The sequence below is a fragment of the Homo sapiens genome, chromosome 10 (assembly GCF_000001405.40).
Source record: "Homo sapiens chromosome 10, GRCh38.p14 Primary Assembly".
Taxonomy (NCBI): domain Eukaryota; kingdom Metazoa; phylum Chordata; class Mammalia; order Primates; family Hominidae; genus Homo; species Homo sapiens.
In genome coordinates, this window is record NC_000010.11 from 20,056,642 (window position 1) to 20,068,795 (window position 12,154).

The 12,154-nt window shown below is 35.9% G+C and overlaps 1 protein-coding gene across 3 annotated transcripts in view; it reads left to right on the forward strand.

Annotated features, from left to right (window-relative positions):
- Positions 1-12,154, forward strand: part of PLXDC2 (plexin domain containing 2) — a 473,425-nt gene that overhangs the window by 240,210 nt on the left and 221,061 nt on the right. For all 3 annotated transcript variants that reach the window (NM_032812.9, NM_001282736.2, XM_011519750.3), the window contains one exon: positions 11,529-11,598. In NM_032812.9, the coding sequence (NP_116201.7) occupies positions 11,529-11,598 (70 nt within the window). The remainder of the gene's footprint in view (positions 1-11,528; positions 11,599-12,154) is intronic.

The following is a 12,154-nucleotide window of genomic DNA, read 5'->3' on the forward strand; positions in this document are numbered from 1 at the left end:
TTTCTTTTGCATATAACAAACCTTAGCTTCCCAAAGCAAGAAGTTGCCTTCTTATTTGACAGATCATATTTGAGTTCCTATTTCATTACAATTTAATCTTATTTCTTCATCTTGGGTCTTTAGTGGAGGATGAGCACCATTCTTTTACATAAAATTAGCCATGAAAGGTAATATAATACATTCTCTATTACCGGTGAAGGCTATCAAATAATTCTAGATAGATAAACATCTATTCACCTTTTAAAGGCACGAGTGAGGCAAACATTTTAGGTTTCTGATAAACCTTGTTAGAAGGTTTCATATTAAACTTTTATAATCATAAAGCCTGCTAAAAGGGAGACCCCTGAACCATGTCTCAGGTGCAATAAACAAGGCAGGTATTTACTCTGCCTTTCAGCTGAGATTCTCTTTTCTAACTTAATTCTTATCATCTTTTCTGCCATGTCTTCAGGAGCCTATGAAGACTTACGATGGTTTAATTTTACATAACATGAGTGTAAAACATATTCTCATCCTAAAGTTATTAAATGATAAAGATTTTACATGGCTCCTTTGAAAGAAAATGTTTCATAACAGAAAACTTAGCAAACTGTAAATGGAATATAATTTTTTTTAGAGTAAACACATCTGAAAGCAAATAATCTTAATTCTTGTGAAAAATCTTAAATTATAAAAGATTGTGTTTGAGGATTGAGTTTTCCTGGGTAGGTTAGTATTTCAGTATATTTTAACAATATTTTTTATACCTGGTCCCAATATCTTTATTTTTGTCTGTTCCTTTCTACCTCATTATAGCGTATCACTTAGGTGATGGATGGATAATACCCTACGCAAAATGGCCAGGTTTCTATGTGGATTGCTTATAAACTACATTCCCATCAGAATGTCTAGTGTTCTAGACATAGTATTCCCATCGGAATTCCCAGCCCCAGAGAATAGGCATCTTTTTTTCTCATTTTGCTGGAGGTGCTCTGTTAAAATGCCAACGGGACTGGAAGTGAAACCCTATTAGACACTCTCTATTAATGATAAATTGCCAGAAATTTCCTACCCTGCAGCATCTGTCTGAAAAGAAATGCCAAGTAAGGTTCAAGTTTAATAACTGGGCCAAGGTGAAGCACATTAGTCCTGATTCCATGTGGGCTAAACTGTAGGATGCAAAAAGGATGTCATAAGGGAGCAACTCTCGGACGCTGTGTTGAGAAGCATCAAAGTACTTAGTTTTTGAAAAAAATCAGAAAGTTGATAAATGTAGCAAAATGGAAAACACGAATCTGCATTAAAAAAAAAAGATGTGGGGGGCTCTTTGTGTTATTTTTTGTAACTATTCTTTCATTTGGGATGATTTCCAATAATTTTTTTTTAAAAAAAGAGAAGTTAGCAAAGGAGGACGAAGAATTAAAATTGAACTTGGTCTAACTTTCAATTTCAAACAGCAATTGAATTTTGAATTATTTAGTCACTTCGCTCATGAACTTTACCCACTGAATTCCAAATATTTTCTAATTGGTACGTAATATTTTACATATTTATGGGGTACAGGTGATATTTTGTTACATGCATAGAATGTGTAATGATCAAGTTGGAGCATTTAGGGTACCCATCACATAGAGGATTCATCATTTCTGTGTGTTAGGAACGTTTCATCCTAACATGCTAGTGGAGTGGCAGCTTGAAGTAGTGTCAACACACATGGACTTGGAACTAGACTGCCTGGATTTGAGTCCTCACTTTGCCAACTGTGAGGTTTAACATTGAGTATATTATTTACTCTTTCTTAATTACTTCCTCATCTATTAAATGGAAGTAATAACAGCACTTACCTCCTAAGGTTGTCATTAGGACTAAATAATTTAGCATTTATACAATGCTTAAAGCAATACCTAGCATAGTGTCCAAGATATCTGTTACATCGATAATAATAATTATTATGCAAACACTTACCTTTAAAACAGTCATTTTCCACTGAATGGAAATTAGGGAGTTTGTTCTCTGAAAGGCAGATTGTTAGCAACTGAGAAAAGGAAGGACCTTTCCATTATCTGAACGATAAACACAAAATATTTTTTTGTCTTGCCCTGTTTGAGGATCATTGGTCAAGGATGTCACAAAAACATCACAACCTTCAGGTTTTGCAAGTCATAGTTTTAAAGACACTTGTCTAGCAGGAACCTCTAGATTTCAGTTCTGTCAATGGAAAATTTTAGGGCATACAAGTGCTACCAGGTAAAGTGAGATTATGTTTTCCAGAAACAAGTCTATTCATCCTTTTAACCTATTTCACTCTTTCCAAAGTTTCCTTACAGCAATGGTTTTGGAGTTTCAAAGGCCACTTATATAACAGAGCTTTGTTACTCAAAGTGGGGCTCAGGAGGCAGTATCAGAAGTACCAGGAGCTTGCTAGAAATGCAGGATTTCAGCCCCCTGAATCTGGATCTGAATTGTAACAAGAACCCTAGGTGATTCATTTGCACCTCGAGGTTTGAGAAGCTTGGAGAACTCTCTTGACTTGCTTCTAGGGTAGCATGAAAAATCTAGAAGCAATTTCTTCTGGCTCTCACCCAAACCCCATGTTTCCTTGAAGTGTTCTTTATAAAATCCTGTCACACTCTCTCTGTATCCCTGAACAGCTGGACTCTCTGAATTCTGCCTGAGTTGTAAATATCACATAACTAATATGAATAATTCTCAGCGTTTGCAAGTACAGGCAAGCTACTGTAGTCATGTGTTTGCTGGGAACCATGCAGTGAGAGAGGTCAAAAGATATGGTGATTGTTCACTTATTCGCAAGTTCATGTGCACCACCATCAGCTAATTGAAAATGTTTGCATTTTGTTTTCCAGTTTATGAATATTCCCTTGAAGAGCACCATTCAATAGCCAGGATTAATTAAGTTCTAAGTTCTGCTATGAAAAAAGTGCTGAAGAGGTTAGAACTTCTAACTCAGAAAATCAATTCAGTTGATGGACTTTATTCTGAAAGAAGTAGCCAGTTCTCTGTTTGTATATTTGTGTATTGATCAGCCCCTTTCCATGGACATTTTGATCTTTTAATTAGGTTTCCAGAGTTTTCAGGGACTGGATTAATGACCTATGTCTGTCAACTCCTCCCAGAGTATGAGAATGGTTAAAATCCCTTTAAAAAAAAATTCTACATGGTAAAAGCATTATTAGTTATCCTGCCCACTATGCTATTTTATTTTGGGATACACTAGGCCCACTTGTGGTCTAGAAGCAGGATCTTACTTTAGGGTATAACAAGGAAGTTCTCAATGCTCTTATTCACATATATGCCTTTCCATATTTTATTTTCCATCTTTGATATTTGCTTGTTGTGAAAGCCTATCAATTTTAACATTTTTCTGTCAACCACTTTTTAGTTTATATTACTTTTATTTTTTATATTTTTAGAGACATGGTCTTGCTCTGTCACCCAGGCTGGATTGCAGTGGTGTGATCACAGCTCATTGCAGCCTGGATCTCCTAGGCTCAAGCAATCCTCCTGCCTCAGCCTCCCCAGTAGCTGGGATTGCAGGCCAACATGCCTGGCTAATTCTTTTTTATTTTTGTAGAGACAGGGTCTTGCTATTTTGCCTAGGCTGGTGTCAAACTCCTGGCCTCAAGTGATCCTCCTGCCTCCCAAAGCACTGGGACTACAAGTGTGAGCCACCACACCCGGCCTATATTACTTTTATAAGCAAAGTTATTTCAGTTTAATAGGGGAATAAAGCACGAAATGACCATTGAGAATTTTAAAAAAGAAAGTAAATGTTTTATACATTTAGAAGACAGGCTCCTGGAACTATACTTAGAGGGTAAGAAATGAAAACATCTGATCCTGGAATGTTAAAAAAAAAAAAAAAAAAAAAAGTCATTGAGGCTGGGCTGGTCGCTGGGCGAGCAGGGGCCCCCTGTTGTGCCTAGGCCCAGGTGTTGCTGATGGTGCAAAGGCTCAGCCCAGCTTGCTGCTCTGTTAGCCCAGTTCCTGTTATTTGGTGCATTTGATCTGATTAGACTGCTCTGTGCCTTTCTCAAATTTTCTCTCTTTTGTGTCTCTGGCCTCATGTGTCTAGGTGGTTTCAAATGATGTTTTACTACTACTAAATTTTAGAGAAAATTATGTTGTTATGTCTACTAAGAGCAAAAAACTGACAGTATTAAAGATTCCAGGTAGAAAACAGAGTCACTGAAAGCTTATAACAGGTAGGAAATGAATCACGTAGTATAAAAGAAGAAATATAGAAATTATACAGTTGTCAAGATGCAGGATTTTGGAGCCCAACACATTTGGATTGAAGTCTTAGCTCCAATGCCTACTGGTGATTTGAATTTATCACTCATCCTTTATTTTTGTAAAATTTTGTTTTGAAATAATTTCAGACTTATAAAAAACTTGCAAAAAATTTTTAAAGAGTTTCCATGTAGATTTCACCTAGTGCCATAAATTTTAACTCCTTATATACTCGTGGTACCATTGACAATATCAACAAATTCACGTTGGTACTATACTCTTAGCTAATCCATGGGCTTTATTCCAATTTTGCTAATTGTCAGCAAATTATTTTTTCTTATTCAAGATCCAACCTAGGACCCATATAGCATTTATGTGTCAAATATTCTAGCCTCCTTCAATCTGTAAGAATTCCTCAGTCTTTGCCTTTCATAAACATGACACACTTAAAGAGTATTGGCCAGTTATTCTGTACAATGTCCCTGATTTTGAGTGTCTACTCTTGCTTTATGATTAAATGTAGGTCTCTGTTTTTGGCAATACTACAATGGGGATGATATTTTGTCCTTCCTCGTGCATCATATCATGAGGTACATGATGACAATATGTCTCATTAGTGGTGAGGTTAATTTTGATTACCTGGTTAAGGTGATACCTACCAGATTTTGTCTTTTCACTGTAAAGCTACCATTTTTTCCTTTTGTAATTAAAAAAATCTTGTTGAAAGATGCTTTGAGACTATACAAATGTCCTGCTTCTCATTACACTTCTACCTACTGATTTTAGCGTTCACTCTTGCTAACTACAGGCAAAATACTTAGCATAATGTCCGATCTATTAAATGTTAATTTCATTCTTTTAACACCTGCATATACAATACTTATGATTATTTTAATATAACAAAAATGAAGACATCGTAACATTGCCTAGAAACATGTCTAATTGTGATACCGATTCTATTAGAAAAACAATTTACCAGAATCGGTTTAAGTCTTTAAGAGCTGTGATAATGCACTGGTGTATTTGAAATAACATAAATAATGTTCAGCTATTTATTAGGAATCAAATAAGGAGCTATGCTTGTTTAGGAAACTAGTTTTAAAGAACTATTGCTAGACACCTTCATGTACACAGCATATTGTTATACTTCATTGACTCAGTGCTTATGATGGCCAGGTATTATTTGGTCATTTGATCCTTATGATAATCTTTCGAAGAAGTGTCTTGACTTTACAGATGAGCAAACTTTAAAAGGCTTTAAAAGGTTAAATAGGCTGGGCACGGTGGCTCACGCCTGTAATCCCAGCACTTTGGGAGGCCGAGGTGGGCGGATCACGAGGTCAAAAGATCAAGGCCATCCTGGCCAGCATGGTGAAATCCCGTCTCTACTAAAAACACAAAAATCAGCTGGGTATGGTGGCGCATGCGTGTAGTCCCAGCTACTAGGGAGGCTGAGGCGGGAGAATCACTTGAACTTGGGAGGCAGATGTTGCAGTGAGCCAAGATCGCACCATTGCATTCCAGCCTGGTGGCAGAGCGAGACTCCATCTCAATAAATAAATAAATAATAAAAAATAAATTTAAAAAATTAAAAAGGTTAAATAATGTATGAAATCGCACAGTTACTAAGTACCAAAGCTGAAATGTAATTTCAGGTCTCTGCAACTCCAAAACCATGCTAAAGCATTGAATAATTTGGAAAAAGTGATTAAATATTTAAAAATACAGTTCCATATACTTCCATTAAAAGAAGATGATAAAATGTGTGTTTTATGATGAGTAAAGGAGCAAGACAACAATAATCTATTCTAAGCATTTATAGATGAATAAATTTTATGTGGACCTTATACAGTTTCAATAAAGTTAGTAAATTGTTACATGTATCTTGGAAGAAAATATCACATCCCAGTTAAATTTATTATAGGTATATGGTGTTTATTGAATCATTTTTATGTATTAGAGATGTAAATCTTACCAGAAATAAGCCAATATACTAGAAATATTTACATAAATAAAACAAATATAATTTTTCTTTTATTTTACAACTCTTCCCAGAGTTAATACTTGACGTAAATAAATGAACTGAAAATAATGTGACTCAATATTTATTTGATCTTATATTTGAAATTGTTTTTTGAAAAAAAATCATAAATACCACTTTACTAATAAGAATAACATCTCACCTATTTGAGAGTTTCAGGAGACAAATATGTGCCCCTCAAACGTAATTATTTGAATGATTAAAAATAGAATATTAAAATATGCCTGTAAAAACTAATGATTAATTTATCAATTCATTCTTGAATAAGTGGATGCTCATTGTATTCTTTTGATCCTTTGCTATGGTAAACTCATGAGATCAGCAATTATTAAAATCACGGTGACTACTAATTTTCTTCCTACAAGCCACTTTCAGCAGGATTATTTCTTATAAAGCTGAAATAAAAAGACTTGGGGAGTCAGAAAAGTATGGCTTTATGACGGTAAATAAGAAACTGTCCTAAAACAAAAAGAAGTTTTTATTAGTGACATTTTAAAACATGGCTTTGAGGACTGTAAATGTGCCCACTCCAGATTCTTAGCTCTTTATTAGAAGGCTTCTGTATTCAAGGTTTTGGGGCATTGACTAATTAATTCATCCTTGCAATACCACTGAGAAATAGGCAAACAAGTCAAATGGGAATTGGGTATATTTAGGATTATAATTCCTGTGTTATTAAAAAAGAATTAGCAGAGATTTAATAATTAGTGTGAAAATGGATAGCAATTAACATAGGAAAAATATGTAAAGAAGGCAAGAAGAGGTGTAGGCACACTCAGAAATCTAGGAGTATGACCTGAATGAGTCTGATAGTCTGTTGCCCCGAGAAATTGTAATGGGGTATGTTTTGGGAAAGCATGATGTGGCCTTAAGGCACAGTCATATATGGATGTAGGTGCCATAAATTTACTGCAAACCACCTGGACTCTGTACGCTTTGACCAAGTCTTCAAAAAATGTTTCATAAATTTATTTTCTACCATATGAAGACGTAATACTTTTTTTGTTTGGCTCAAAGTTACCATTCCCCCTTCTTTTGAATAGTTAACTGTTTTCCATAGATTTTAAGAAATTAGTTAGCAAATTCAGTCGATTTTGTTTATGCCTTTTATGTTCTTTAATATTTTACTTCTGAGCTTTTGTTTTCTATTTTGTCAAGCCTCTTAATCCATTTATTGGGTCTTCCCACCACCATTTTCTTGAATCTTTTTTTTTTCTTTCATGTTAAATATTTCTTAAAGGATGAAATCCAAGAGCACATAATGTTTACACTGTAGTAATTACACCATTGTTTCAGTATTACATTTCTTTTCTTTTTTTTTTTTTTGAGACAGAGTCTTGCTCTGTCACCCAGGCTGGAGTGCAGTGGTGTGATCTTGGCTCACTGAAAGCTCCACCTCCCGGGTTCATGCCATTCTCCTGCCTCAGCCTCCCGAATAGCTAGGACTACAGGCGCCCACCACCACGCCCATCTAATTTTTTGTATTTTTAGTAGAGATGGGGTTTCACCGTGTTAGCCAGGATGGTCTCGATCTCCTGACCTTGCGATCCGCCTACCTTGGCCTCCCAAAGTGCTGTGATTTTTTCTTTGACATTGCTTTTTATGACAATGCCCAGGGTTCTGTTAGCCTTTTTGGTTGCAGAAGAGTCCTTTGTTTTATATACTATTTGGGGTCATTTATTATTTAATAAAGGATGCATAACTAATTAGTGACACAGCAAAGTTTCTCACTCACAGCTAACCAAAATAGCTCTTCTTCCTGCATTCATAATCTCAATTGGTGACCTGTGGTTCACCAGTCAACCAGCTAGAAATCTTAGAAACCTGTGCTTGACTCCAGATGTCTCTCACTCACTCCCAACTTTTAAGCCCAATTAATCACAAAGTCCTTCCTGTAGGATTGGAAAGATGAATGTCCCAGCCTCCTGACCTCCAGTGAAATGATTCCGGGCATGTTTTTGCTTTGTTTTGTTTTTGTTTTTTGTTTTGTTTGTTTGGTTTTTTTTTCTCTACTTTTGCTCAGTCCATGGGGACTGAGGCCCAACTGGCTATAATGATAACATGTCCAACACTGTACCTGCTATTGTTTTTTTCTCTTTTCCTTGTCTCACTTTTCCTAGTTCCTTGAGCAAGTGCCATCTGGGATCACCTTCCAAATAAACTGTCTGCCCCTAAGTCCTTATATCAAGATTGGCTTTAGGGGTAATCCAAACTAAGCCAAGGCTTAAAGAATATGGAAGCCATGACTGACCAAGGTTGAGAGAATATTGTTGTCAGAAGGGATGTCATGTGTATGTACCACAGACAAGAGCTAAGGGTAGCAAGTGCAAGGAACTAAAAGTTGTTGCCTATGGCTGGCTGGAGCAGAGAGTATGAGGGCAAAAGTTGTCAAGTAGCAGGGACTAGTTCATGGTGTGCCCTAGAACTCATGTTCACCATGTTGGTGTGACTCTCAGTGAAAATGGAATTCTAGATTGAATGATTTCAAGTGGGGGAGTGATATGCTAGGTAATATAGAGCAGCAAGCCCCAACTATTTTGGCACCAGGAACCAGTTTCATGAAAGGTGGTTTTTCCACAGAGGGTAGGAGGGGATGGTTTTGGGATGATTCAGGCACATTGCATTTATCGTGCACTTTATTTCTATTATTATTACATTATAATATATAGTGAAATGATTATACAACTCACCATAATATAAAATCAGTGGGAGTCCTGAGCTTGTTTTCCTGTAACTAGAAGGTCCCATCTGAGGGTAATGGATGACAGTGATGGATCATCAGGAATCAGATCTCATAAGGAGCATGCAACCTAGATCCCTCGCATGTGCAGTTCACAATAGGGCTCACGCTCCTATGAGAATCTAATGCTGCCAGTGCTGATCTGACAGGAGGCAGAGCTCAGGTGGTAACGCAAGCCATGGGGAGTGGCTGTAAATACTGACGAAGCTTCCCTGGGTTGCCTGCTGCTCACCTGCTGCTGTGTAGCCCAGTTCCTAACAGGTCATGGCCTGTGGCCTGGGAGTTGAGGCCCCGGCTTAGAGAATGAATTTAAAGAGAAGTAGAGCCATGACACTTCTGAGGAAGTTATTGCAATGATAGTGACCGATGTTTGGAGAAGAGTATCAGTAGCGACTGGCAAGAAATGAATGGATTACACAACTGTTTAGCAGACAGTATCTTCCTAGATTGCCATCATGATTCCATATCAGAGTGAAGCAGACGATAGTGGTAACTAAGGAAAACTGGTCATTTCAATAGGGGAGCATTTCAGTCACTGGTGTTGCTCTTCAGAATTCTTGAAGCATTTGCAAATTCCCTTTGAAGATCTATTTGTCCTCAAGAAAAGGTCTTTAACTTATATCTTAATCTAATTCCAAACATATTTGAATACTTGCAGTGGCTGAGAAACTCATGTCATAGCGTTTTGGTTGATATTTGGTGGTAATTGATAGGGTTCATTAGAGATACATGTTTAAATCAAACTCTGACTCTGAAAGTGAGAATGCATAAGGTAAATTTTACCAATTTACTGATAAGCATGGAAATAAATTAGAATGATGGAAAACAATATAATAAGCAAGTGCTTTTATAAAATTATTCCTTACATCTTTGAGATAAATGATCCTGCCATTGAACTCTTCCTTCATTTTAGGGTTCTTAGTGACCACTTATTTCAGTTAGCTCTGTGAAAATGAGTTTTGTTGTTCCTGTTAGTCAGCACAAAATAAAAGTGATCATAAACCTTTTATGAAGATGAGGCTTGCATTAAAAAGAAAACCTAATTGAAAGTCGCTTTAAATTTTGAGTGATTAATTTCATGCCAAATAAGTAATTAGAAATCGTGATGGCTATAAAAAAGCAATTATTTGCAAAATGGGAAAAAGCTAAATTCAATCTAGATATACTTTTCTACATTAAAAATTTGTGTATTGGGAGAGATATAATATAGCAATTGTGGAATTTTAATGTAATAGCCTGTTATTATAGGTAGTTTGTACATGTGTGCTGTTGGGCTCTCAACCAGCTAATTACTTTCCTTCTGGATACTTTTATTTCAGTTGATCATCTGTATTATATTAGGTTGGTGCAAAAGTAATTGCGGTTTTTGCCATTACTTTTAGTGTTTCTCTTGTTTCTTGCCTGATAATAATATATCTACTTAATATCATTTCAAACATATAAAAAAGATTAGGATTTTTAATATGTTTTGGGTTTTAACATTTTAATATTTATTTTTTAAAAAAATAGACACTATATACCTGTTGAGTTAAATATTAAGAGCTAAAGTTCGTGGCCCCATTTTAGGAAAACAAAGGGTGCAATCCAGGAACTTTCTCCCTGAGTCTCTGTAATTTACTCCAAACCAAGTAAAAGTAGGTCTCCAGTAACCAATATTATTTATCCTAGAACTCTTGTGTTTCTAAGAGTGGACACAATATGCTAAATTTGGAGAGCTGATTGTATTTGAAACATGAAAATGTCTGCAGGTCAGCCGGGCATGGTGGCTCACGCCTGTAATCCAAGCACTTTGGGAGGCTGAGGCAGGTGGATCACCTAAGGTCAGGAGTTCGAGACCAGCCCGGCCAACATGGCGAAACCCCATCTCTACTAAAAATACAATAAATTAGTCTGGCATGGTGGCTGGCACCTGTAATCCCAGCTACTTGGGAGGTTGAGGCAGGAGAATTGTTTGAACCCAGGTGGGCAGAGGTTTCAGTGAGCCGAGATTGCGTCACTTCACTCCAGCCTGGGCAAAACAGAGAAACTCCGACTCAAAAAAAAAAAAAAAAATTCTGCAGGTCTAGATCCACCAGTGCAAGACATCTTCTTCCGTGAAACTGCTTTTCATTATGGGATGTATAGAAAACAAATTAAAAATGTAATAATGTAACATAAAATCTATTTTGATTTTTAATCCAATGAATCTTGACCTAACATGCTCTACTATTTTGGAGGAACTAGTCAAACTAAAAAGAACCTCAGAATAAGTTGCTCATCATCAAGAATGAACTGATTATTCAGTGGACAACTAAAATGCCGTGGTGATGTTAACTTTATTCTTTTCACATACTTCAAAACTTTAATTACCAGAAAAAATATTCTTTAGTACGACCGAGGACTCAGGTTTTAAAAGAGAACTACAATAATTATGGGGTAAAGTAGAAGCATCATTTTTGTTTTAAGTGAAAGGCTCTTCATTTCACATTGACTATGCTACACATTATTGATTTTTTTCTCTGGTGTTGTTCTTTGCAGAGAGTGAATCTGTCCTTCGATTTTCCATTTTATGGCCACTTCCTACGTGAAATCACTGTGGCAACCGGGGGTAAGTGGTTTTCTACCCATTCACCTTAAGTAATCTATGGTTTGACTGCAGTTATTATTTTTAAGTTACTCTATATTTCAAGATGGATATTTATTGAGAAAACCATTGTGTTTTATCACAAAGTCATAGGTATAAATAAAACCAAAGAAAGGGTATGGTTATTGGAAAAACTTCTCAGCAGACAAAAAAAGTATTTATAATAATTTTCAACCTAGATCACCTCTGCTTTTCTTCTAAATTTTAATTCATTTTTGGTAGTGTGGTAAGACTGTCCAAATGGCAGAAATTGGAATAGAGATAGAAGGAAAGGCTGCTTAATGAAACTGCTGGTGATCTTAAATTTTCTTTTAATGTATATAGTTGCTATATATATATTATATATATATAATATATATTTACATATATATGCACTTACACACATATATATATACACAAAAACACACAACCATATGTGCATTAGCTTTGATCATTTTTTTTCCTTGAGTGTTACCTATTTTGATTGACAACTCATTTGAGAGTCTTCAAATAAAGCTGAAATCCAGCTCAAATTTTTAAA